The 27938-nt window shown below is 35.6% G+C and overlaps 1 protein-coding gene and 1 pseudogene across 6 annotated transcripts in view; both read right to left on the bottom strand.

The window, feature by feature from the left end:
• Positions 1-27938, bottom strand: part of ATF6 (activating transcription factor 6) — a 197751-nt gene that overhangs the window by 71646 nt on the left and 98167 nt on the right. The window contains exon 15 of one of the 6 annotated variants that reach the window (XM_047449542.1): positions 234-26064. The exons of 4 other annotated variants lie outside the window; for them this stretch is intronic. In XM_047449542.1, the coding sequence (XP_047305498.1) occupies positions 26053-26064 (12 nt within the window). In that variant the 3' untranslated portion in view covers positions 234-26052. Of the gene's footprint in view, positions 1-233; positions 26065-27938 lie in introns of those variants that run through there. One more of the 6 variants, XM_011509310.3, reaches the window with a different exon arrangement.
• Positions 748-1485, bottom strand: LOC100422526 (proteasome activator subunit 3 pseudogene; annotated as a pseudogene).

Genomic DNA, 27938 nt, shown 5'->3' with positions numbered 1-27938 from the left:
ATGATAGAAGATTATGGAAGGAAGTCATTTTCCACAGATTCCTCTTTTCATTCTAAGGGAAGTAGATGTCCATTTGTTTAGAATAATTAAAATACATTACTCTTTGCTTACTTTTCTTACCCATCAGAGTTGAAAAATATCAAGTGTATGAGTCCACCTGAAGTAGGAAATTATCATCTGAATTGTCCACATCCGAAAATTAAAGCTCAGATAAGCACACTCAGGCCATCACAAAATTTTATAACCAAGTTTTATTTCAATCTGTTAAACTGGAGGCATACAATGACCTAAACATATCCCTTTAAACTCCGTTCCTCGCAAAAAAAGAAAAATGATGCTGTAAAAGGAGCATTTCTGTAAGTTTGAACAAAGTTCAACGGATAGCAGAACTTTAGGAAAAACTTCATTTAACTTTAAGATTTAGTTTTTAAGTAGCCCCTAAAACCATTCAATGTCGCTAAGGCCATAATAAAGAAACCTTGGGCCAACATTTATCTATAAAGCTGCTTTTAAAAATGGCAGTCTTTTCTTTTTGATGGTTTGTCCCCATTCTCCTCACAAAAGGAAAATCAAATAAAAATTACACCAAAAGATGATTCAGTATGAGGATAAGCTGTATGAAATTCTAAATGGTAACACACATTTCCAGTAATTTCATGACCTGTAGAGTCATTAATAACCAGCCTTCTAGGTGCCTAAACAGCTCCGCCAACTCCTGAAGGCAAATGGGGTGGAGAAAGGCTATCAGTATAGGTTATCACGGTTGGTGCTCCGAGGGATCTTGATCTTCTCAATGTTTTTAAGGATTACATCACGCAAGGTGGCATACTCGTTCCGTAGGTGCAGCAGGATCTGGCGCACACTCAGGTACTCGTTTTCGTCGACCTCTGCTACAGTGCAGCGATAATCTTCCACTTGGGGGTACTTCACTATCTTGGATACCAACTTGGCCTGGGTGTTGTAGTAGGTGGAGAAGCCGCATAGAGAGGAGGCCGCTGTGCTATCCACGGTCCACAGCTGGTCCACAGTGTCTTCCTGGATAGACACCCTGAAGTTGTTGCCGTCCTGCACCTTCAGGATAAGCGGGTGCACCTACATGTGCACTGTGTTGCATTTCTCTCTCAGCAGCTTGATCTCAGGTTTCACCCACTCAGTCAACTCCACCAGATGCTGGTTGCTCCGCAGAAGCTGTCCCTCGCTGCCAAGCAGTGCTGGGACCTTGATGGAGAACTGAGTCAGCAGAACTGGCAGATTTTGGTTGGGCCCATCTCCCTTGTTGCCTGGGGTGGCCAGGGGCTCCGAGGTTGGCACCGAATGGATTCTGGACAGGTCTTGCAGCCGGAGCTCCTGAACTCGGCTATTCAGCTCCAAGACCTTCTGAGGAAAGAAGGTGGACACGAGATCCTCGGCCTCCTGGGCGATACGGGCTCGAAACAAATCTACTTTCCCCTGCATGTCCGGCTCTAGCTTCAGCAGAAAAGCCATGGCTTCTAGAGGCGTCGAGCTTTGGGGTGGACACGACCCGCGTTTTACACCCGCCTTGGCCAGCTGTGCTTGGGCCTCGCCGCCGCCACAACTCCCAACAGACCACTCCAGAAATTATGTCATAGGGTCCCAGAAGCCCACGTGGCTGGAAAGGAAGTGGTGCAGCAGGAAGTCACGCCCCCGCCCAAGTCCTCTAGACGCCTTCAGCAGGCTGACCTGCATCCCCAGCCCTACCAAAGCTCTGTGTGCTGAGGTTTGGGGCCAATCCGCTAGAGCATCGAGGACCACATGTTAGCAGAGAACCAGCCGGATCTAGTTCCCGAAGCCGCCCTTCCACCTACCTGGCGGCCTGGCTGGCGGGTCGCCTGACTATGAAAGACAGTTCCAAAGAATGTCGTTTAAGAAAGCATTGTGAAGACCTGTCAATGGCAAGGCGGCATACTTACATGGGAGCTCAACAAATCGACAATCCCTGGGTCAAAAATATACAATCTCTTTTGAAAAGAACCTCACCAAATGGGGTCTCCAGAGCAAGGTTCACTTCTGGGGAGCCCTAAGTCACACCTTTACAGGTAACCTGGACCTAACCCTTGCTTTCTCCGTAGAAAATCAGAAGTGGTTCATTTCACTGTGGTATTTAAATCAGGTTAGCAAACTTCCGAGATCTTTAATTTACATTACAAATGTTAAGTTATATGACTCTTCCTAAACTCATCTTTTTGGGGACAATTAACAAAATCTGAATCTGGACTGTAGATTAAAGATCAAGGTCAAATTACCTGAATTTGACAACTGCATTGTGGTTATGGAGGTGAATACCCTTGTTTCTAGGAAATACTACATTTTTAAGGTATGAAGTGATATAATGTAGTATTTAACCTGTTCTCAGAGAGTTCACAAAAATAATTTGTATGTGTGTAAAGAAACAGAATGAGGGAAAATGTTAAAAACTGATATATCTGCATAAAGGGTGTATGGGAGTTCAGTATTCATGTGACTTTTCTGTAAGTTTGAAATTATGTCAAAATAAAAAGTGAAAAAATTACCTTTTCCCTAAAGGCTTTCAGAATTATAAAGACAAATTCTGTGCTCTTCTAAAATTTCATTCTACTTATTTATATTCATTTTCCTTCCCCTGAAATATTTTCCTTTTGTTCTTTGTAACACCACAAAATCCATGCTTTTGAATTTTATACTAAAATTATTGACATTTGAATCAAAAAGATTCTCAAGATGCTTTAATACAGTTAGGTTCATATGTAACTGTCACCTCAGACTGTAAACTCAAGGACAGAGGCCAAGTCTTGATTTGTTTCCATTGTATCTGGCACAATGCCTGACATGAAGCAGGTGCTCAATACACGTCTGATGAAATGATCTTCCAATTAGTAAGATTTTGGATAACTGTAACTTCCCATGATTTAGAACTCAGAAGAAAGTGTGAACAAGATAAACATGTTGTTATAGCTTGGGTTCCCCAGCAAGCTGACTCTGAGAGTGTGCTTACAGGAAGTTTATTAAGGATTGTTCTTGTGATAAACACCTGTGGAAGGGAAGCGACAGCAGAGGGAGAAGTTGACTTCAGTACAATCTCAAGGCCTCAGTGGACCCCATGGAAAACTGGGAAAGGTCCTTCAGGGTTGTCTTGAGTTGGGGACAAGGCAATTCCTGAAGAAGGCTGTCTGGCAGCAGGACTTCCAGCTGTTGGGAAATAACCCTTTAGTCCTGAAAGGGAACTTGGGGAATGCATTATAGCTTCAACTATACACATGTGCCATATTAGGATACCTATACTAACAAGGCAGCAATCTGTGTTCAAGACAAGTATGTTCAGTCCCAATTAGGAGTTGAAAATCAAAGATGGTTTCTATGTTCAGATTGCTTCAAGGCTTGTAGGAGTGTGATAAAGGATGCGGTAAAGAGAATTATATATGGGTGGTACATGAGGGAGGGGATAAGGGTGTATATGTATGTGGTTGTATATGCGGTGGAGGTATTGGGGAAATACTGGCAAGCTGGATCTCAAGGTATAAGGGAAAGTGTCAGGAAATAAGGCAGGAGAGGTATGGACCAGCTCGTGGAAGCTGGCCCCTGTTTGCCATGCTTAAGGAACTTGGATTTAATAGAAGCCAACCAAGGAATTTAGGCAGGGAAAAATACATGATGGATGATATGAAGGATGGAGGTGGATTTGAAGGAGAGACTAAAGGAAGAGAGACTGCTGCCATAATCCAAATGAGGAAGTATGCCTCATTTAAAGCAGTGGTGATGAGGTTGAAGAGACATATCAAGAGAGCTTTATAAAGTAAAATTAACAGTACTTGGTGATAGTTTTGGATATAGAGAAATGAGAAAAGGTAGAATTAAACACTATGTAACTTTTTTTTTAACCTGGGGAAAGAATTTTTATTTATAGTTACATTAAACCTCCCCCAAGAGGTGAATTAGATACACATTTTTACACACTCATATTTACTACATTCAAGCTAGGGGAATTTAGATAAGGCTATCAAACAGAAAAGGAAAATCAAATATTGACCACAATTTTCCCAAATCCTGATCTTCTTCATAACTTTGGCTATAAAAGATTACTATGTAATTATTATGGAAATTCCCTTTTATACCCAAAACATCTTCAATGGTATATACGGTTTAACAAATGGTTACTCTATTTTCAAAAAGTAAATACTTCTAGTTGCTCTTTTAAAAAAGCAGGGAAGTTTCTTTCAATGATTCATGCAGCCATTTATATGGAATTATTTTCTTTCGTTGTCTGATGATAGAATATGAAATCCTTTAGGGGATTCAGCTGTTCTTTTTTCTGGTATGATGTAAGAGTTTTATTTATTCGTAATGTTTCCTGTTCTTGTTAATGAGAGTGATGGTTGATAGGAAAATAACAGCCCCTAATTTTTCTTCCCTCATAGACGTCAGCAATCAGCAGTTGTTTTTTAAAAAGTTATTTAATGCACTTGCATGCCTTGATTTGATCCATGAAATTAATACTGAATGCTAACAGGTGGTAGAATGTCAGGGACAGCTGTGTAGAGTATAGTCTTGTTCAGGTTAGTTTCTCCTTTCTCCACAGCCCAGCAGGATTCATGATGTACTGGTGCCAATAACTGACACACCACTCTTCTTTTAGGAATACTTAGAGATTTATGGATTGATTTATCCTTTTATATGTCCTCCAACTCTGAAACCCTGTGAAGAAGCGATTCTGGGGTCCTATGTGTGAATTCCATTTATAGAACCTATTCTAAGCAACATATTATATCACAACTATTAGACATAAAGGTAGCCTTGAGCTATGGATTGGGATTTAATCCTTAGAAATACATATTTTTCACTGATTTCTCTGTCTATAAAAGTTAGGAGAAATATAATTAGTGGGACTAAATCTAGATCATCTTAAAACTCTGATGCTCTGATGGGTGATAACAATTATCCCCTTTACAAAGTTCTTCATCTCCAGGTTGCAATGGATCTTACATTACCTAGCCCAAGGGCTTTATTTACCGCTTATGAACACTTGGTAGTGAGCATCATAAAATGCTTCAGGCCGAGTGCAGTGGCTCAAGCCTGTAATCCCAGCACTTTAGGAGGCCAAGGCAGGCGGATCAGTTGAGGTCAGGAGCTCGAGACCAGACTGGCCAACATGGTGAAACCCCGTCTCTACTAAAAAAAAAAAAGCACAAAAATTAGCCAGGTGTGGTGGCATATGCCTGTAATTCCAGCCACTCGGGAGGCTTAGGCAGGAGAACAGATTGAACCCGGGAGGTGGAGGTTGCAGTGAGCTGAGATCGCACCACTGCACTCCAGTATGGGTGACAAAGCGAGACTCCCTCTCAAAAAAAGAAAAAAAAAAAGCTTCATTTTACAATGTAGTTAGGGTTGACAAATATATCACTTCCCTTCCTTCATTCTTTCTTGTAGACCACTGCAAGTTAAGGGTACAGAAACAAACAACGTAGAGGTACTTGCTGCAATGTCTCTTTGTCGACTGTAGTTGCCAATTCAGTGTCTCTAGAACTGTCTCCAAATCTAATATGTGCATGCATGCCTTTAAATGAAGAGGAGTGGCAATACAGGACTGTGGTTAAGTCCATGAAGTTGGCTTAACATGTCGAATCCTGACTTTGCTACTTATTAGCTGTGTGACACTGGCTAAGTTATGTAACCTCTCTGTGCTTCACTTTGTAGTTGTAAAACTATAAGTACACTTACGCACCACATAATGATGTGTCTGTCAACAATGGACCGCATGTACTATGGTGGTCCCATGAGATTATAATGGAACATATACAGAAATCTGATACATGGCACTTAATGTTGGTGATGCAGATCAAGTAAGGGAAATGACTGACATTCAGTAACATGGCTAAGAAATTTGGTTTTCCATATGAAAAAATAAATATAAACAAAGATATACATCTAGGTTTGTGTAAGTATACTCTATGACGTTTGTACAATGAAGAAATTGCCTGACAATGCATTTCCTAGAATGTATCCCATTGCTAAGTGATGTATAACTGTATAAGATGTTTCTAGAATTTAGTTTTTATATGTATTTAATAAACATAAGTCAATGCTGGAGAAAATTTCTTCGTTTAACAGGAATTGCAAACAATTACAGAGTTATCTTCCTGAAATGCAAGTCTGATCATATTTCTGTCTTCTACAGGTTAAGAACCAAACTTCATGATCTGGACCCTGCCATCTTTTATTTCCTAGAACTGACTACATTCCAACAATTCTCTCACTCATCCTGTGTGCTTACATATTCACCTCTCTGTCTGAAATGCCACACTGCCTCATCTTCCTCCTACTCTCTACCCTACTCATCCTTCTATAACCAACTCTCTTGTTTTCTGAAAAATTTGATACTACCTCCTCCTTCCTTGATGAATGTAGTGCTCTTGGCACAAGTAAAATAGTGTAATGATATCTACCTCATAAAGCTGTTGAAAGGATTAAATGAAATGACTTCTATAAAACAGCTAGGACACTAAATGCTTCAAACATACTAGTTTTATTTATAATCTCAGTATTCTGCAGGATGTCTCTTTTATAGTTCCTATCCCAGTATGAAATTTTGGATTTACAAGTCACTTTTCTCTACAATAATAAATTCCTTGAGAACAAGGATTTTAGCTTATTTGTCTTTATACCGTCTATGGTAGCACAGTGCCTGGTAACAGTAAGTGTTCAATGAACATCTACTGAATGAATAAACAATGAAGCAAAACAGAATAAAATTTTATCAGACAGAAGCCGACTAGCAAAAGAGATGGGACTTTCAAGCAACTTATCTTTTTCTTTTTTCCTCTGAAAAAAATGTTGAATTATATTATATTATATAAAAACCCATTTTGGAAATCTAACAGGAATCTTCTGGGCTTTATACAGGAAAGGTAGGAAATATATTTCTTTTTTCCTCCCATCAATAGCATACAGCTTCACATTCTGCTTTTGACTGTGGTAACATGCCAGAATTCTACTAGTTACAGTATTACTTAGTTCTAAAAAACAGGCCTCACTTAAATAACTGGAGTTCATCTGTAGAACAGTAGTTACGCAGTACTACATGTTTGTGCAAAAGGAACATACTGGGGAGTACTAGAGAGGTACACACAAGGAATGGGGTGATGCTGGCTCTGACTCATGCTCCTACTGTTTATTTATAGCTTCTTATTAATATAGGATTTGTTTTATTTGGCAAAAATACAAGATTTCAACTGACTGAGAGAAGAAGATGTAAGAAAATGCCTAAGCATAAAACTTCTACAGCTGAATAATAATCTGTAGCTCAGTGCTGTATCAACAGGCTCCCCAGGGGATGGTGCAAACTGAAACCACTCCAGAATTACAAATTTCATGAGCTGCAGACTTTACTGCTAAAAGTAAAGTAGTGGTTAACCAAAGATTTTATTCCTCTATAGACACCTCCATTTATAAATGCTAAATTCACTAGTTGGAATTAGATTTTTAGAGTAGTGTACAAAATATTTACGATGAGTTCCTAATTACTTTAAATAATTTTCGCCAGCAACAAACAGTCAAAAGCAAATTTAAAAAGAGAAGCCAAAGAATTTATATGCTTAAAATGGAAACATTTCTCAATGTTAATTTAAAATGACTACCTGCCTTCTTACTCTGATTTTGCTTTTCAACACTTAAACCAATATTTTATTATATATGTATCTGTGTATTTGTTTAGCATCTGACTCTAGAATGTGGGCTCTGGAAAAGCAAGGGCTTGTTTGCTTTGCTCATTGCTGGAGTCCTTGTAGTGTTAACAGCCAGGAACGTAATGGCTATTCAGTAAATATCTCGCTGGACTAATGACAGAAAATTATTGAATTTCTTAATCCAATTCTTTGAGGATAATTACAGTTAGAAGAGCTTTTTTAAAAAAAAAACTATAAAAGTAAGGTAATTATTCAGATAGTCACACTTAGTATGAATAAAGTTGTTTTGGATAATAAAATCAATTCCTAAAAGGTTTGAGGAAGAAAACTTTTAAGCTCTAAAGTTATTTCACATTTATGTTTTCTTTAAAGATCAACAAACGCTATTCATTTAAAAAATTTTAACGTTTTTGTATTTATCACTACCGTTCATCTTCTTAAAGCAGAGGTGTTTGTTTCAAAATGAAAGTAAGATTCACATTTTGGTAGATGAAAAATATGCCTTCCTAGTTTTATATTTTAAAATCAGGTCAACTGCACAAAACTGCAGTAAAATAAAAATAAAAACAATTTAATCTGGACTTTTTGGTTCTAGTAAGTATTTTACCTAAGGAGACACTATATTCTCCCTAATCTAAGCTGAATACAAAATTGGTCAAATAATCCTAGGAGGAGAATGGCTTTCAAATAACCAGCAACCATATATGCACAGAAATTCTGTTGACCATTTCTCTTTGCATGATAGAGTATTATACATACATATTTTAATGAAAAATAAGATAAACTTTTAAAAGCTGACCCAAAAGCCTCAGACCTAAGTGACATTGCTTCATCAGAATAGACCTGAACTATTTTATAATCTGAATTCAAATTATCTTAATTTCCTTATGTTTTTAACAACCTGTGGATTCCTATTATATATAAAAATGTCAAGGTGACAGGCTTCATCTGAAAATGAGAAATAATGCATAGCGACCTTATGCAATTACATCTATTAACAATTACAGAACCTATGCTGATAGAATTTTTTAATCTATATGATTTTATATATGTGTGTGTTTTAATGCTTCTAAGATAACACTAAAGACTGCTTTTATGCTACAAGTGAAAATAATGTTTATTATATCTTGTGAATGAACCCATGACATAGTCATGTGGCTCCTATCTAATATCAATATGAAAATGTCAGATTAAAGGCTAGTTTCTTTACAATTATCAATTGATGTCACTAAATCCATCCAAATGAATGTGATGTAGTCAATCTGAATAAACCCTAAAAACAGCTGAAAACCTGGTGTCTGCTGTTACTCAGTTTTCTGACTGTAATCTAAGTCTGTAGTTCTATAGACATCACATGAAATGAGCACTGAATTAGAATCAATACAGGAAATATTTAAAAGAACTCAAAAGTCACTTTTGCTAAAGATTATTAGAAGAGATTATATAGACTATTGAGAGAGATTCTAGCTATCTTTCTGTTTGGAAGAGCTCTTCCTTTCAAGTTTCTGATTCTCTTTCCCCACAAAATGGAAAAAGGGTAAGTCTAAATTATCTAAATCTAACCTTCATAAATAAACCCAGTTAGATAATGGATGGTAGTGTAATGATACCATGTAATACTCTTGCAGTTTTAACACTCTTTCGAAACATGCCAATTTTCTGTCTGTTTATGGGTGATAAGGAAAATAATAGCATTAAAATGAATTTTTCTGGGGAGTTGGGGGAAAGAATGAATTTGCTAAATCTAATGAAAACAAACTCCTCTCCCCTTGTCATATCCTTTTATGGGTTCTTTCTATGTACCCATATGCTTCCAAGGTCAATCCCCTGATGATAAAGAAGTATACATATCTTGAATACCTATTATGTGTTAAGCACTGTGCCAGTACTTAACTTATTATTTCATTTAAACCTCTCAACAACCCAGGAAGAGGTAACTATTAATATTACTATATTAGAGATAAGGACACTGAAAATTAAAACCGAGATTTGTCTGACTCCAAAGCCCATGCTACCTGATTTTCTACAAAAAAAAAAAAGCTGTATCGACCCCCACTAAAACTTAATTTCTCCACGAAACTAAAAAGTAATGACTCACAGCTAAATGGAAAAACTATTTTTCTTATTTCTGAATAAGACTGCACAATACTACAGCATAAACTATTCCTGTGCTGTTTTTATATTATCTAAGCCAATGCATAGAGTATGTATATGTGTATACATGCATAATATATATAGTTTTAAAAGATTCACTCTAGAGTCTGATTCTGAAGCTCTTTTTCAAATTAAGGAAAACAAACTACTAATAGATTAGCCCAGAAGTAGCAGCTTTTCTTATAAGAGGCTTATTTTTAGTTCTTTGTTCACTTTTCAGTGTATTTCCTAGCACTGTGACCCATACAGGCACATATTATGTGTTTGTCTCATCTGGTCTCCAGAATTTTGGTTTGGCAATATCTTCTGCTACCCATTACACTTTTGTTATAATTATCTACAGTATATGTTATGTTTCCAAAGAGTATATAAATAACATTTCATTGGTTAAGTATAAAGACTGGAAATTTGAGGTTGAAGAAGTTCAATCATAGGATACTGTTTTAAGAAGTTCCAGCAAAATGTGCAACCTAACAAAGTCAAGGATAACACAAAGAAAACTAACAGTCTGGTATAACCTATTTAACTTGGCTTTGCTTTAATTCTTCCTTTAAAAGCTATTAGGTGAAAACACAGCATTGAATATCATACAATACTGGATATCCACACACACAAAATGAACTTTGATATACACCTTGCACATATACAGAAATTAATTCAAAATGGATCATACACCTAAATGTAAAACCTAAAATTGTAAGACTTTAAGAAAAAAAATATGAGAAAATATTTGTGACCTTTAGTTAGGCAAATATTTCTTAAAACCATAAAAACACAGTCCATAAAATAAAAAGCTGACATATTGGACTTCATCAAAATTAAGAATTTCTGCCCTTTGAAAAACACTAAAAAGGAAATTTAAATACAAGCAAAAAACTGGGAGAAAATATTTACAAGTCATGTATTTGATAAAGGACTTGTATATAGAATACATAAAGAACTCGCAAAGCTTCCAGATTGCTGAACATGAGGAGGTGCCTGGAAGGTAGCCTACTTGGAGAGGGTATGGAAGCTCCATACCCCTTCCACATAGCTTGCCCTATGCATCTCTTCCATCGGGCTATTCATCTGTATCCTTTGTTAATCATAATAAACCAGTAAACATAAACACTTCCATGCTGGCTTTCATGAAGCAAGTTGTCATGTTGTGAGCTGCCATATCAAGAGGCCCATGTGGCAGGAACTGAGGGGAATCTCCAACTGAGCAAATAACTGAGACCCTTAGTTCGGCATCCCACGAGGAGCTGAATTCTACCAACAATCATGTGAACTTATGAGTGGAACCTTCCCCAGTAAAACCTTGAGATGCAACTGCAGCCCTGGCCAAGACTGTGATTGTTACTTTCAGATGAAACCCTGGAGTAGAAGACCCAGCAAATCTATGCCTGGACTCCTGACCCATAGTAACTGTGAGATAATAAATGTGTGTGTTCTAAGCTGCTAAACAAAACAACACACACACAAAATCCTCAAAATGAAATCTCAATCATTAGAAAATAACTCAATAAAAAATCGGGAAAGATTTGAACAGACCCTTCACCAAAGAAGATTTATGGATGGCAAATAAGCACATAAAAAGTTGGTCAAAATTAATATAGTTATTAGGGAAATGCAAATTAAAACCACAATGAGATACCACTACATACCTCTATTAGAATGGCTAAAAATAAAAAGATAGGCTGTATCAAGTGTTGCCAAGGATATGGAGGCACTGCAACTCTTATTCCCACTGGTGGGAATGTAAAATGGTACAACCACTTGTACCAAAGTAGTTTGGTAGTTTCTTAAAAAGCTAAACATATGCCTACTATATAACCCAGCCATCCCACTCCTAGGTATTTACACAAGGGAAGTGAGTGCATTTGTCCCTACAAAGACTTGTACACAAATAGTCACAGTTGCTTTGTTTGTAGTAGCTAACAGTAGAAGGTGAATATATTAGTAAATTGTGCTATATCCCTACACCAGAATATTAGCAGTAAAGACGAACTACTGATACAAGCAACACCATGGATTAATCTCAAAATAATTCTGCTGGAAGGAAAATATATATAATTAAGATCCCTTTATATACAATTTTTAAAACTATAAACTAATTTGTAGTAACAGAAAGATCAGTTGACTGGTGAGAGGGCAGGGAAAAATTACAAAGGGGCATGAGAAACAAAACTTTTGGGACTGATGGGGATGCTGATTATTTTGACTATGGTGATGATTTCACCTATATAAGTATATACATATATACACACACACACACACACACACATACATATCACACATAAAATGTGGTGTTAAATATGTGCAGTTTATTATATGTCAATTATACCTCAATAAAGCTATTAAAAAATGAATCTTCACCTTAAAAGAACACACATGACATTGCATGGCACATAAAATTTCACTATCAATTTTAATTTTGAAACTATGTTAAATAATAAATCTTTGCTTCATATAACAGAAAATTAGATTCAAACCAGCCACTCAAGACAGAAATCTGAACACAAGGATTTTATTTTTGTATAAAGACAATTAGTCTTCCAAGTGGTATAGTTCCCTGATTGCTATAAAGGGCAGCTCCTCAGAAAGTAATAAGGGCAGATACCCAAGATAAGCACTAAATGTTCAAATATTCCTGATTGTGGCAGCACAAAATTAAAGTTTATTTATTTTGAAAATGATGAATGACATGCCAAATGAAAACAAAATGGCATTATTAAGTTGCATCTAGCTGCCAACAGCTAGAACTGAAGAAAGGTGTTAAGGAAGAGAAGAGGGTGAGGAAAGAGAGGGATGATACTTTGCTTCACAGCATTTCGAAGTGTTAAAAAAAAAAGAAATTTCAAAGATGCCTGATGATGTCAGCAGAAATAAAAGCTACTGCATAAAGATATAATAATACAGTGTGACTATCATACCTTCTAGAATATTTTCATCCCCAGCAGCTATTATGTAATAGCTTTAAGTAAGGTACTTGCAGAACAGGCAGGTCTTAGCTTAGCTGTTAGGTCTCCATGAAGACCTCCTTGCATAGGACAGCCCCTCCAAGATTGGTTAATGTGTGCTCTTATGACACCCTATATTTACCTTGTTCATCACAACCATCACACCATATTGTAATTATATGTCTTTCATTCTCTAGATTACAAACTCCTTGAGTACAGGGGCTGTGTCTTATTAATCAACTGTAACTCTACACCTGGCATTCTGTTGCAGAGATTTGACTTTAAAGCATACGGCATACTGACACCCCACCAAGGCCTCACAATCCAAATGTCTCTAGTAGGCTCACTATCCCACTGGCCAAGACAACTACTTCATACTTGTGCCTCTCTGCTTAAATCTTCTACACCTCCTCTAATATCCTTACTTTCAGCTGATGACATCAGTTGAGATGTCCTTCACTGGGAAAACAGAAACTGTTAGAAGTGTCTTCTCTTTATCTTCCTGGAACCTAAGGTCCTATCTATGAACTCATCTTGCCTCTACCATAATGTCCTGCCTTACTAGCAAAGGGCCATCCTTCCACCTGTTATCTGAATTCCACCCTTTTGCCCCTTCTCAAGGACTCGACTTCTCTTTTAACATTGCTTTCTTCCTATCTATGGGTTCATTCCTTTAAAATATATAATTGATATCTAGAGTTTGAAAATAAGACAAAACCCTACCTTTTCTCTATTTTCTTTTATAGGCAAACATTTTTAAATAGTTATGCTGTTCTCACTTCCTTACTACTTAATCCATCTTTAACTTTTATGTTTCATGTCATCACTAAAAGGCTCTTGTCAAGTGTATCAGTGACTTTCATGTTGACATATCCAGTGAAAACCAATCCTTCATCTTATCTAACGTCTCAACAGTATTCAAGAATAAACCACTCCTTCCCCATTCAAAAGTCTCTTCTCTTGGTTTTCTCCCTATTTGCTGACCGCTCCTATTTAGTCTCCTTTGCTGCTCTCATCCTTCTCCAATTCAAAATCTAATTTGGTCCTGAACCCTCCTCCTTTGCTGCTCTCATCCTTCTCCAATTCAAAATCTAATTTGGTCCTGAACCGTCCTTTGCTGCTCTCATCCTTCTCCAATTCAAAATCTAATTTGGTCCTGAACCCTCCTCTCTCTATATACTCTCTTCTTGATGACTCCATTATTCCCATGTAAATCCATGAGATAATGTGTGTAAGCTGACCGGGTGTGATGGCTCATGCCTATAATCACAACACTTTGGGAGGCTGAGGTGGGTGGATCACTTGAGGTTGGGAGTTCAAGACCAGCTTGGCCAACATGGTGAAACCCTATCTCTACTAAAACATACAAAAATTAGTCAGGTGTGGTGGCAAACACTTGTAATCCCAGCTTCTCAGGAGGCTGAGGCAGGAGGATCATCTGAACCCAGGAGGCAGAGGTTGCAGGGGGCTGAGATCACACCATTGCACTCCAGCCTGGGAGATGGAATAAGACTCGTCTCCAAATAAATAAATAAATGTGTATGAGCTGACAATTCTTAATTACTCTTCTTAGCTCAGATCTATCCTCTCTTGAGTCCCAGATTCACAGAGCCAATTGCACACATTCCCTTGAATGTCTCACAGACATTTCAAATTTAAATGTATCCAAAAATAACTCTCCACATTTATACCAAACATATTACCGTGCCCCCCAAATATTTTCATCTTAGTAAAAAATGATAGTCCTTTCTACCTAGTAATTCAAGACAGAAATCTGAACACATCTAATATCTCTCCAATTCTCACTAAATCTATCCACAAAATGTATTTAGAATCCATTCATCACTTTGCTGCCATCATCATTTTGCCGGAGCTACTGAAAAAGCCTTCTAATTGGTATCTCTGCTCTCTCTGCTCCTACTGTTAATAGGTCTCTCTCTAATGCATTGTCCATGTAGCAGTGAACATCTTCTACGAACTAAATCATTCGTGTTATTCTGCTGCTTAAATCCCTTTGCTGGCCCTCAGAATAAAACCCAAACTACTTACTATAGCTCATAAGGCTTTGTAGAACTAGCCCCTTCCAATCTCCCAAACCTCATTTTCATTACTCATCCCCCTTCCCATTCACTAGTCTCCTGTCACATTGGTTTTCTTTCAGTGCCTCAAATAAAGCTCTTTCCTGCCTTACTTAACTGCCTTCATATGCTCTTTCCTCTGCCTGGAATCCTTGAATTCCCCCCATGTTTGAGATATCAGCTAAATGTCGCTGTCTCAGGAGAGCATCCTTGTTATTCTCTGAGTCCATTGTGTGTTTTCATCATGCTTACTATATCTGTCAATTATTTTGCTAATTTATCTGGTTAGCACCAACTAAACTATAAGTTCCCTGAGCACAGAGACTATGTATTATTTATCACTGGAACCCATGCTCCTTGCATATCCTCAGAATACTCAGTACATACTTCCTGAAAAACTATTTTCTGAGTGCATGAAAAAACTAAACCTTAAGAGAAACAAGCCTTCTATGATCTAGTAGTAGAATAATGGAGAAAGTTATGAAACACATTATTATGGAGCTTAGTTATATGGACTCCACTACTGAAACTTCTATCTAAATACAACAAAGAAGAATGTATACTTTGTTTTGTTTTATAATATTATTTTTAAATCTTTTTGGAAAAGTTTTCTAAATCTATCTACAGCTTCTTAAATTTTAATATTTCATATAAAAATCTATTACATACTTTTCTTATATTTAAGAATGAATTGCTGGCTTAAAAGACAGGAGATTAGAAAACTTGCCTCCTTAACCCACAACTATACTGTCTACATATAAGATACAGAAAAGATAAAACTGATATATTTGAGAATTTTATGACTCACGGAAAGGTGGAATCTAGCAAAGAAACTGGTCAAAATTGTTAATAAAAAATGACCATACATTGAAAGCCATCTTTCTCTTGTTTCAGACATATGAATAATCTATCTTCTTGTCGCTTATGCAACAAAATCTTTCAAATACTATAATGGTGCCAATTAAGTTGTGATGTCATTCTGAAACCAATCATGTAGAGTTCAAAGAAAATGGAACTGGATATTTTAAACACAGGTGTGAAGAATCCTCTAAAAAAAAATTCTATTACAGCTTATCATACTGGAAATGAAAAGACCACGGAAGTATCCTACATTGTAAGTTATTAATATAATGCAATGACTGAAAAAGTGCATATAATAGCTGAGAGACTAATAAAATTGTGGATAATCGACCTTGCTCAATGCCTGCTGAAAAGTCAGTATAAGAAATCATGACACTTTCCAACCATATGTTAATTCATCAAATTACACTTAGTTGCAAATACGAAGGCTGAGTTAATATCTCAACTACAGAATTGTGCTTTTGTTTTACAAATGGAAGAATCTATAAACTTTATGTTTTGCTTAGATTTATTCAGTATGAGCCCCAAGTAATCAACAACAAAGACCTTTTATAGGAATGCTTGGCAACAAACACTAACAGTACTGAAATATTCAGTGTTGAATAACTTTCTTAAATCTCATCATTTATCTTGAAACAACTGTGTTGATATTTACACTGATGATGCAAAAGCAATGATGGTGCCCTAGCATGAATTAAGACAGCAACATCAAACTGTATTATATAGTTCATCATATTACTGCCCTATGTTCATATACATGCACATACCACACACAGTCAATGTAATTGAAGGAAGTCTTTGATGAAGCAATAAAAGTTATTAATTTTATGAAATCTTGACCCTTGAGTAGAAGTCTTTTTAATATTCTGTACGACAAAATGGGAAATACACATAAAGCATTTCTGCTGCATATCAAAGTACAATTGTTGTCTAGAGGAAAACCACTTGTGTAACTGAGTTGTGAGCTGCACTAGCTACTTTCTTCATGGAACACCACTTTTACTTGAAAGACTGATAAATTATAGTTGTTTAGCCTTGGGTATCTGACAGATATGTTCTTGAAAATAAATTAGTGAATCTACCACTTCAAGGAAAACTGACATATTTTTGACAATGATAAAATTTGAACCCTCAAGTGAAAACTAGAATTTTGGAAAACTTCTATCTGCTACCATGAACTGCTCACAATATTTAAAGACTTTTCTGATAAGATTTGTGATAGTATTAAAGAATGTGACATTTTAATACATAATAAAATGTGTCAACATTTGGAAGATCTGCATAACTCAGTGAACCAGTATTTTCAAATGACCAATGTATGATGTAACAAAACCTTGCACAGGTAAAAGATCCATTCAAAGTGCAAGATCAACCAATGGATTTTAATTTCAGAGTACTAAAAGTTCACAGATTTGGCTTCCGTGTTGCAACTAACCTTTAAGAAACTACCTCTTGTTGCATTTTGGTGTAGCATCAAAGAATACCCACAATTATCTGAAAGGCTTTTAAAATAGTCCTTCCTTTCCAATTACATCTCTGTGTGAGGCTGGATTTTCTTCATATATTTTGACCAAAAAGAACAGATATAAGAATCCAGCTGGTTTCTATTAAGCCAGTTATTAAAGAGGTTTTTCTTAATGTTAACAAAATGCTACTCTTCTCATTAATGTTTCTTTGAAAACATAAAGGAATGTGGAAACCAAAAAGTTTGAGAACCACTGATTTAAGGATCTCCACTCTCTTATCGCTCAGTTTGGTTTTGGACCTGATGGCAAAATAGGAGCCTGAAAGGTTAGGGTCAAATATATAGAAAACAAGGAGATGGATAGATAGACAGACATGCAAACATACCTACATACATCAGAAAATGTCTGCCTACATGGCTGTGGTTTAGATTATCCTCATTCCAAAGTCAAAGAAAAATTATTATTTTTATTGCATATCATTCTCTCTAGTTCATATTGCTCCTACCTCTACTAGAATAGATATTCAAAAGCTGCTAATTCAAAGCACATTTTGGGGGGAGAATTCAACTAACCTCTTTAAGGAACTTCAAAGTAAATATGTGACACTGACCCTCTCCAAGACAGACTCATTCTTAACAGAATAAAATTTATTGAACTTCTATTCAATAAAAAATGGAATCAGAAAAGAAATAGTTGTAAAATGTAATCTGAATAACACTTTACATGTAACTGTTAACTGTTACATGTAGACTGTTTATTCTGTATGATATATTTTAATTTTTCAAGATTTATTTTAGGGCATATTATAATCAGACAGAGATGACTCCAAATAAATTATTCAAAAGATAGTCTATGTCAGATTTAAAATTTGACAAGCTTATCTTAAATTCATTCCATGCAAGAAATAAGCACTATGCAGGGGTAGTCTCATCTTTCTAGGACATTACAGACACATTATAACAGGCATCTTATACATAAGGAGCTTATTAAATCTGGGGCTTATTCATTCCAGAGGTTAAAATGATAGCACAATCTGTTTAACACCCTAACTGAAAAATAATCCTTTCTGTCCATGTATTACCAAGATCAGTGTTCTGACTTTGAAACCCAGAGAAATTCTTACTAGGTATATAATTTCCCTCATGCAAAATGGCACTTAGACTTTTAAAAATGCATTTGAATTCACTCATTTTCAAAGACTGATTTCTAGACTTAAACATGAGACACAGATGGTCCTGATAACAATGCTCAGTAAACTAGACTATCACAATTTCTTTATCACATTACGGTGACTATATAAACTAATTTAGAATATAGTGTCAAACTGATGGATTTGGTATCTAATTAATTTGTTCATTTATTCATTCAATGTTTATTGAATACCTGCTACATGCCTGATATACCATGTATTGGGAACAAAGTCATGACTAAGATAGAGGGTTCCTGCCCTCAGGGTACTTCCTAGCAGGGGAAACAGACTTATTATTATTTAGAAACTACACTCCTACTCTCAGCCAATCATCCATCTTGCAGGCTTCCAGTGTGATGCCCATATTATGAACTGGATATCTCTTCAAAGCCTACCCATAATGAGATCTTTATAGAAGACTAGCAGCAATGTGTTGAAATAAATATCACACAATTATTAGCCTTAACATTTTTCAGGAAAACACCAACTGTCAGTGTTTAGATTTGCTGATGGTGTCAAAAGTTAAAATATTAAGAGTCCAAAATGAACAAATCACTGTATACTATATAGGAGAGGGGAGGAAATGACATGAGTGTTTCAGACCTTGATCCTGAGTCAGATCATAAGTCATCAATTTTTCCTAATTATAATAATTGCTTCCTCCATAATTAAGTTTTGTGACATCATAAGAAAGGTTATACCAAATTTTATGTAGGTTACTTTGCTAGTTTTCTAACTTAATGTGAGAAAAAATTATAAAACCATTTACATATAATTAAATGAGAAATAGTTCTATAAACTTTAACATTTTGAAAACTCTTTACCATTATTAAAAACCAGCTCTGTATTTAAGATTTAAAAGACTTTTGATATCTCAAGCAGTACTTTAAATATGATTTGATTTTTCAAAAATCTGGTTTTAATTCCATACGCTCTTTTATTTTTCTTTTCTGTAGTCCTACTGCAAATAAACAAAAACTGTTCAACTTTCTCCATGCTTTTACTTTAAACAGAAAACAATACAGAGGAGGAACAATGACTTGTTTATTTTCCTTTAGAACATCTGTCAAGCATAAAACATAAACTCTATTCTTATATGTATATAAACTAACTACAATAGTCCTTATTTACCTTATACCCTATCCCTATATCTCTCCTGTCCTTAACACAAACACATACATACACACTCTTAGTTCTCTTCTCCTTATCTATATCTAGGCTATCTCCATTTCCTTCCAGTGTCAGATTTACCAAACCATTGTTTTTCTTTCCCATTCTCTTCTATCTCTTTTCTGGATTCTGTTCTGATTACTCTACAATAAATGTAATCTCAAGTTACCAATGATTTTAATGTTTACACAAGACAAATGAGTTTCTTTCATTTCTCATTCTTAGGGAGCGCTATAACATCTGATACCACTGACAGCCTCGTTTTCTGAACTCTTCCTTGACCTCTAGGTTTTAAAATAACATAAACAAGTTGATTTATTTTCCTTCATCTGTACTCTTCCAATTCTCCTATATTTCTAATAATTTCCTCTGTGTTTCCCTGCTGGCTCTTGTTCCTCCTACACTATTACTTTGAGTAACATGTGGCTTGGTTTTCCACAGGGCTTTGTCTTAGTCTCTGGAAAATGATCCCGAAACAACTCAAAATATGTTTTGAAAAGAGAGATCAACGGAATTAAACTCCAAGTTGACTACCTTCAAAGATATGATATTTGGATATCTTAAACAGGCAATAGAGGGAAATGATCAAGAACATAGAGCCAGACTTTCTTGGTTAAATTCTGACTGCTATTTCTAAACGATGTCACAATGGATAAATTTGTTTTTTCATTTCTACAGCGGACTTTTTCTTCCTTCTTTTTAATCTTTCTTATTGGAGTTCACAATGGACACGACTGCCTCAGGTTCTTCATCTGTAAAATGATGATAACTGCACCTATCTCAATTATAAAGATTAAAGATTATCGTATTGTGTTCTGTATAAGTGTTATTAAATAAATTACAAAACTGCCAGCTATTCAAAAAACAAACTCATTAATTTATAGCCCCACCTTGTAACTTCACATTTTGTTGTTTTTGTTATGGCTGTTTTTCAAAACTCTTAAAATACACTGACTCCACTAGATTGAATCACTTAGTAACTTCAAAGAGTTTAAAGCAATACTACAGCTTTCTAAGAGGAAAGCACACACACACACAAACACACAGATAAAAACTATAGATTTCTGGAGCCAGAAGGAAAAAAGCAAATCTACATTAACTTTATCACTTAACATATAAGGAAACTGAAGATGAGAGGGACTAAGTGATTTGTCTAAAGTCACATAGCAGATGTCACTGAGTGGCAACATTGGGGCTAGAATGCAGGTTCCTAGGGTCTGTACCTATCAGTTGTTTAAAATACATTTTTTCCTCACATATTCATGATGTGAAGAAATGTTCTTTCTGGGAATGCAGTTCTGCTTTGGGGAAATATTTTCTTCCCTCATTACAAAAAATTTGATGAGAACTTTAAGCTATCAATCATTAAATCCTACCTTTCTTCTTTTTTAACTTTTATTTTAAGTTCAGGGGTACATGTGCATGTTTGTTTTATAGGTAAACTCATGTCACGGGGGTTTGTTGTATGGATTATTTGGTCACCCAGATAGTAAGCCTGGTTACTCAATAGTTATTTTTTCTGCTCCTCTCCCACCTCCCACCCTAATTCCTGCCTTTTTTCAAAGTAACTTTAGAAGTCTTTCAGGAATTATTCTATTCCACAGCAAAAAGTCCACCCACACCAAAGCTGACTATATATTCTTAAAAATTTCATTGCTATCCAAGTCACCGAAGTAATTTTAAACATTCATTGAGAAAAATGTCCTCCTTTGTTTCTGCAAACCCCACCTCTAGTAATCTTTTGAAGAGTAGGACATAAAAAATAAGGGTAAACAACACAAATAAACAGTTAGTGGTCTGAGTAGTCAACATTTATTTAGGACTTACTCTGCCGAGCCTGCAATGCATTGCAATAGATCTTGTAAAAGACAAAACAGAATGAATAGACTTTATCCCTGCACAGAGAAAGCATACAACCTGAAAAGGGGAGATTAAACAAATGCATATGAAAAACACATTTCATAATAATAAGACTACCAAATAGAGCAAACAAATAAGAACCATTGAAAAATTATCATGACTCAGATGGATCTGCCCACCATTCTGAGAATTTTGAAGACTTCGTATTATTCTTGAGTTATAAGTTCTCTGTTTGTGGCTATATACAAGTCTACTTACAGACTACTGAACAATCTTTTCTCAAACATAAAGCAAGTTATTTTAGACTTTGTGATTGAAAAGTGTAAGTAAAAAACATGTTTTTATGTTAGCTAGCAATGTTATAGAGACAAAGAACAAATAGTTGAATCCTCTAAAACCACACAACAGTAACTCACATTTAACAAGGAGTTTGAGATCAAATGCTTCTGATCTCAAAGATCTAGCACGCCATATACAGAATCCATAATAAAATGTATTTACACACACAAAAACCCCACTCTTTTCTATGAGAAGCTCTAGAATACCAATAATTAAAACAGCTTCTGTTTTTGCTAAACTACTTCCTTTTTAAGACAAAGCAAAGACATTTCTTTTCCACCATGTTGGAAATTTCAGACACTGTTTTAAAAAGAAACCAGAAACTTTCAAGGCCTATTTATTCTATTCCCTGACTTGAAATCTGAAGCTATACTATAATATTTCAAACCATTAAGTTATTCTCCAGCATTATGAAAGCATAATCTATTAAAGTACTTAATCTATAATTATAATTAACAGGTAATTAACAAACAAACATAATCAGGTAATTAACAAACAAACAATTTTTGAAGTTGTGTAATGAATCTGCCAAAACTGTCCAGCAGATTTTTCAATGAAATATCTTGATTTTGGAGGGTTAGATTAATTTATTTACATATGCTGTAATACATCTAAAAGTGCCAGATATAAAGAAAAAAGCACAACAATGTAAAGAAAAAAAAATCACTGTATTAAATTAGAATCTATCAATTATTGCCCTAGTTCTAATGCTTACCATTTTTGTGTCCTTAGATAAGCTACTTAATCTCTCTTTGCTTCAGCTTTTTCAGCCATAAAATAGGACTAAGAATACTTGTGATTATATGTAAGGAATTGCTAAGATTATGTATGTGAAAGAGGTTTGTAAACTACAAAGGTAGTATACATTGAAGTGTTAATATTTGTATATAATAAAGTGAAATAGAAAATGGACATATAAAAAGAACATTATTGGCATAATGATTAAATAAATCTAGGTTAAGTTTATTAACCTAGGGTACTCAGTCAACTCTGCTCTATTTTTTTATAATGTGCTTTAGACCTGAATGAGAATATATTTTAAAGCTAAAAATTAATTTTAAAAAGCCTTCTAAAAGAAGGTTTTTTAAAACATCTCTCTTCTGAGATAAGACCCTTTTCTAAAATGCAAGTATCTTTCCAAACTCATCTATTCACTTTTTTTTCCAGCTAGAATTTGGCTCAAAGGCCATGAAAGTGGAGATAAGAAAATGGCCAAACTCCAACATCTATGTGTACACTCAAGTTTTGAGGTCTCAGAAACAAAAGAAGGAGCTGTACCCTTTTGAAGTAGACTTTATAAATGAATTTCCTTTGATACTAAAGAAATTCCTCCTGCCTCTGAAGATTTTATATATATACATACAATTGAATTTTTATATATATACATATGTTGAATTTTTATATATGCATATAAACTAAACATAAATTTCTAAGAAATAAATAACAGGCATTAAGAAAATATGCCATTCTTCATGTGTTAGGTATTAATCTAGGTATTAAGTTAGAAAATATCATTGCTATTTTTGAAATTCGTTTTTATGCCCATCCGTGGGACTAAACCTCTGGCAAACATTTTGAACAAATAACACCACTAGTCAACCTTTTTTTTTGCAATAATCACAGTATTTCCTACAGTGTTTCCAAAGTTTCAAGTTTCTGGCTCCTACTGCTTGAATCTGTACAAATAGTAGAACCCATCCCTTCTCCAAAAAAGAAATCAGTGAGGTCTAACAACAATCTACTCCAAAATGCTGCCAACAAATAATTTTAAATGAAGATGCAAGTATCTCAAAGTTCTACTTACTGACATAGAAAGCTGTTAAACACTACACTCAGGTGAATTATTTAGCTCTACAGCTTAGATTCAGAGACAAGAATAAGCTGATGATATCTGGCTAGTGCAAATCATAAATGGACAAAACAGAGATCATCTTTAACTAAACTTTCTACTGGCATTCAGCACAGCTTATATTACTTCTTAGATCAGTAAAATAGATTCCAATTTCTTTAAGCAAAACAATGTAAAAAAAAAAACCTTTTAAATGATTATGAAAAACAACAAACTTCCATCACTGTGACTTCTCTCAATGGCTCATGTCTAAAACCATTCTGTTCAGTAAGCACTCAGTGGTAGGCATTGCTGAGTGTCAGGGGTAGTCACAAAAGCATACGATATTTCCTGCCTTCAAAAGGCTTATCATATAGATGAGAAGATGGGCCTTTTAGATCAAACAATTAGGAACCAATACAAGAAAGAATTTAATGCACACTTACTAAGAACGGGGAAAAAAGAATAATAATTAAAAAAAACAGGCTGTGTGGTATAGTAGTTTATGAAGCTCCCAGTGCCTGCCAAAGTCATTTTCTCAGAAGAGTGGCCCCAGGTTTTTCTCTTGTCACAAATGAATAACTGTGGATCATAAGCCAAAGCTGCCATAGTAATTCTCTGCGTAAGAGATGGTGACCAGAACTACCCAATCAGATCTTTGTGTTTGAGGAGTATGAATCAGTAAAGTGTAAAAAAAAGACTAAAGTGGAATCACTGGAGCTGCTGTCAAATCAGAAATGACAATAAACCACTATTCCAATTCTCCATGAAGACTAGTATACATTCCACCCAATGAAGCACAAGCACAGAGGGATTATTTGGATTCTGAGCCAGTTTCCTGTGCTTCTTTAATCTCACATAACTTACAATAAGTCCCTATTACTTAAGGCTACCCTTATAATCCATGCCGTATATATGACAGTGTTAATAATTTTTATAAGGGACCAGTAAGGGGTGCATACCCAAATATGGTACTATTGCTAGAATATATAAAATACTTGGAAAGAGAGGAGAAAGAGACATCTCTCAGGCAGTCATATGGCTATAGCTCAGATTCTTCTGTAATATTATGTATGTATTTGAAACTGATGAAAAGACACTTTACGTGTTTACTTACAATTTGAGACAGGTACTGAAAACAGAAAATGTAATAGAAATAAAAAATGTTCCCAAAGTAGGCATCCATCTCATTTGCAAAAGAAAAATATTAAACAAGTAGAGATAATATGGCAAACTGACATTCACAGCCATCTGATTCAAAGAGAACCTGTTTTTAATGAAAAACTGCCCCAGGAAGAAATTCTTTCCTTATATATTAGTGGATGAGACAGCTACATGTAAGGATGGTATTTAAATGTGTATTGAAATAATAAATTAATATCATTTCCCAATCTTTCTTCTCAATGTTTCTTTTCTGCCCTTTTAAAATCATCTTCTTCTTAACTTTATTTGAGCTTTCCTGAGTATTTGTTTCTGTCTTAGCTCTTGAATTAATTTTGTTATATTATTTAATCAACCTCCTCCCTCCCTCCCTAAATAGACTATCATACAAAAGCATTTTTTTTTTGAGATGGAGTCTCACTCTGTCACCCAGGCTGGAGTGCAGTGGCGCGATCTCGGCTCACTGCAAGCTCCGTCTCCCAGGTTCACGCCATTCTCCCGCCTCAGCCTCCTGAGTAGCTGGGACTACAGGTGCCCACCACCACGCCCGGCTAATTTTTTTGTATTTTTAGTAGAGACGGGGTTTCACCGTGTTAGCCAGGATGGTCTCAATCTCCTGACCTCGTGATCCACCCGCCTCGGCCTCCCAACGTGCTGGGATTACAGGCGTGAGTCACCGCGCCTGGCCACAAAAGTATTTTTAAAATAAGCATTATTGAGTCCAGGAGTTCAAGACAAGCCTGGGCAACAAAGTGAGACCCCATCTCTACAAAAAATAAATAAAAATTAGCTGGATGTGGTGGCACTCTCCTGTAGTCCCAGATACTCTGGAGACTGACACAGGAGAACTGTTTGAGCTCAGGAGTTGGAGGCTGAAGTGAACTATAATTGTACCACTGCACTCCATCCTGGGCAACAGAGACCTTGTCTCTTAAAACAAACAAACAAACAAACAAAAAAGGCATTAAACTTAATTGGATTTTTTTCTTATTAATGTATCAGTTATTCTACACTCAAAGTGACTTGGAAGTTTGAGAAAAAGTTATTCTCCAACCTCCCTCTCCAAATCATACTAAAACAAACAAATCAAAGAGAGGAGAAAAAGGCAAAGTATTTACAGGAAAATAAGCTACAAATAACTGGAACTAAGCAAAGAAAGCCGAATAGATTACTATGTTGGTGGTAAAAACTCTTTAAGGAGAGTCAAAAGAACAGAAGCACTTTGGACCTTTGTCTGGAGTACTGGGATCATAAGCATTTTTTCTTGCTGAGCTATAACAGGAACTCAGTAGTTATCCAAGAGTGTGTCTGCTTTAGAGAAAATAATTTCAACCGCTCAACTGTAAAGAGATTAAAAGGTACAGGAATGCAGGGTGTGAGGGAGTGTAAGTTTGGGAGAGAGTGGCTTAAATAACAGTACGAAACAGTCAATGGCTACTTCTACATCTTTAGATATTAAAATATTTTGTTAAATACATGTCCATTCATAAAATAAAATAACATAGCTTGCTTATTGGCTTTGTTATAAATGTCTGGTTCATGCTAAGCCGAAACCTGGGGCTCTGGAATCTTCTTCTGAATTTCCAATGTAGTATCAATTATAATAATTTCTGCCAATAAAATTAAGAACCTAAGTGGGAGAAAAAGTCTACATCCTTCTGCACAAGAAATGATGCCACTCACCTTTTTAATGAAACTGTTAGAATATTTTATATTGAAAGATGAAAGAAGACCAAGCATGAGGTAATTTATTATTTCATTTTCATTTCAGCAAGAGCAAAAAGAACAATCCAGGTATTAAAGAACAAAATTCCTGTCCCATAACATAGTTTACAGTCATCAAGATAAAATTAACTTCCTTTTCCCTACTATTGAAACAAAACAAAAAAAATAAAAAGGATGTTATCTTAATTACTATTATCTAATTCAGTTCATTTGTCTTTACTCTTCCTTGATATAAAACACCAAAATGTGATAAATCAGTAATTTGAAAATGAAAAATCGAAACAGAATGTTAGACATACTCCTAATAGTAATTGTGTGAGAGCCAGTCCTAACAGTCTTCCTGAATGAACATCAAGGGACTAGGGAGGAGTGGAAATCAATAATTTTCTAACAGCACTTTTATAGCAAACTAATGAGAAATCACTTTTTACAAATGCAAAAAAATGCAATGCATATATATTTTTTAAACCGCCATTCACTGTCTTTTATAAAAATACAGTCTGTTTAAAGCTAGGATTGGTTGGGCGCGGTGGCTCATGCCTGTAATTCCAGCACTCTGGGAGGCCGAGGCGGGTGGATCACAAGGTCAGGAGATGGAGACCATCCTGGCCAACATGGTGAAACCCCGTCTCTACTAAAAACACAAAAATTAGCCAGGCATGGTGGCATGCGGCTATAGTCCCAGCTATTCAGGAGGCTGAGGCAAGAGAATCACTTGAACCTGGGAGGTGGAGGTTGTAGTAAGCCAAGATGGCACCACTGCACTCCAGCCTGGGCAACAGAGAGAGAATCCATCTCAAAAGAAAAAAAAAAAAGCTAGGATTGTCTTCTCTATAAAAAATACTTGTTCTCTTCCCTTAGAAAAACATTACTAACCATGACTTCAATCCATGGCTTGACAAGTGTTACTTCTAATATCTGTTATACTGTTTTGATCAAATAATACAGTAATTATCCTGAACCTCAGAAAAACTGTCTATTTGAGTGTTAAAAACATTCTCCTACAGTAACTTCCATAAAATATACTTCAACACAATCATTTTAACACCCAGCAGGTTTCTTCTTCATAGTACTGAATCTTCTTAAAAGTTTACTTTTTTTCTCCTACTTTGAACATAATTGTGTCAATAGTAAGGGAAATACTTTGTTTTCATAGACCAGTACAGTTGGAGCCTTGCAGGAAACATTGTTCTCAGCTGCCCCCTTGCTGCTGAAAAGAAACTTTGAGGCTGGTCCTGTACAGAAACATACCAGTTATGTCTGATAGAGTAAGGTGAACACAGGGAATTTTGTGAAAAGGCAGTGATCATGAGACGCTATGGCTAAAGTGTTCCAAATCTCTTAGCATGTTTGATTAATAACTGAAAATATATAAGATGTTTGATCTCCCTAGTTTTCAAGTATCAAAGTTCTCTGGTCCTAAAAACCTGAGCTGCTAGATATTTATACCTTAGGAAAAGAATTAACTAGTTAACTGAGAATTTCAGTG

This window comes from Homo sapiens, chromosome 1 (assembly GCF_000001405.40).
Source record: "Homo sapiens chromosome 1, GRCh38.p14 Primary Assembly".
Lineage (NCBI taxonomy): Eukaryota > Metazoa > Chordata > Mammalia > Primates > Hominidae > Homo > Homo sapiens.
Note: the sequence above shows the minus strand (reverse complement) of the source record. Positions and strands in the feature narration are given on the sequence as shown.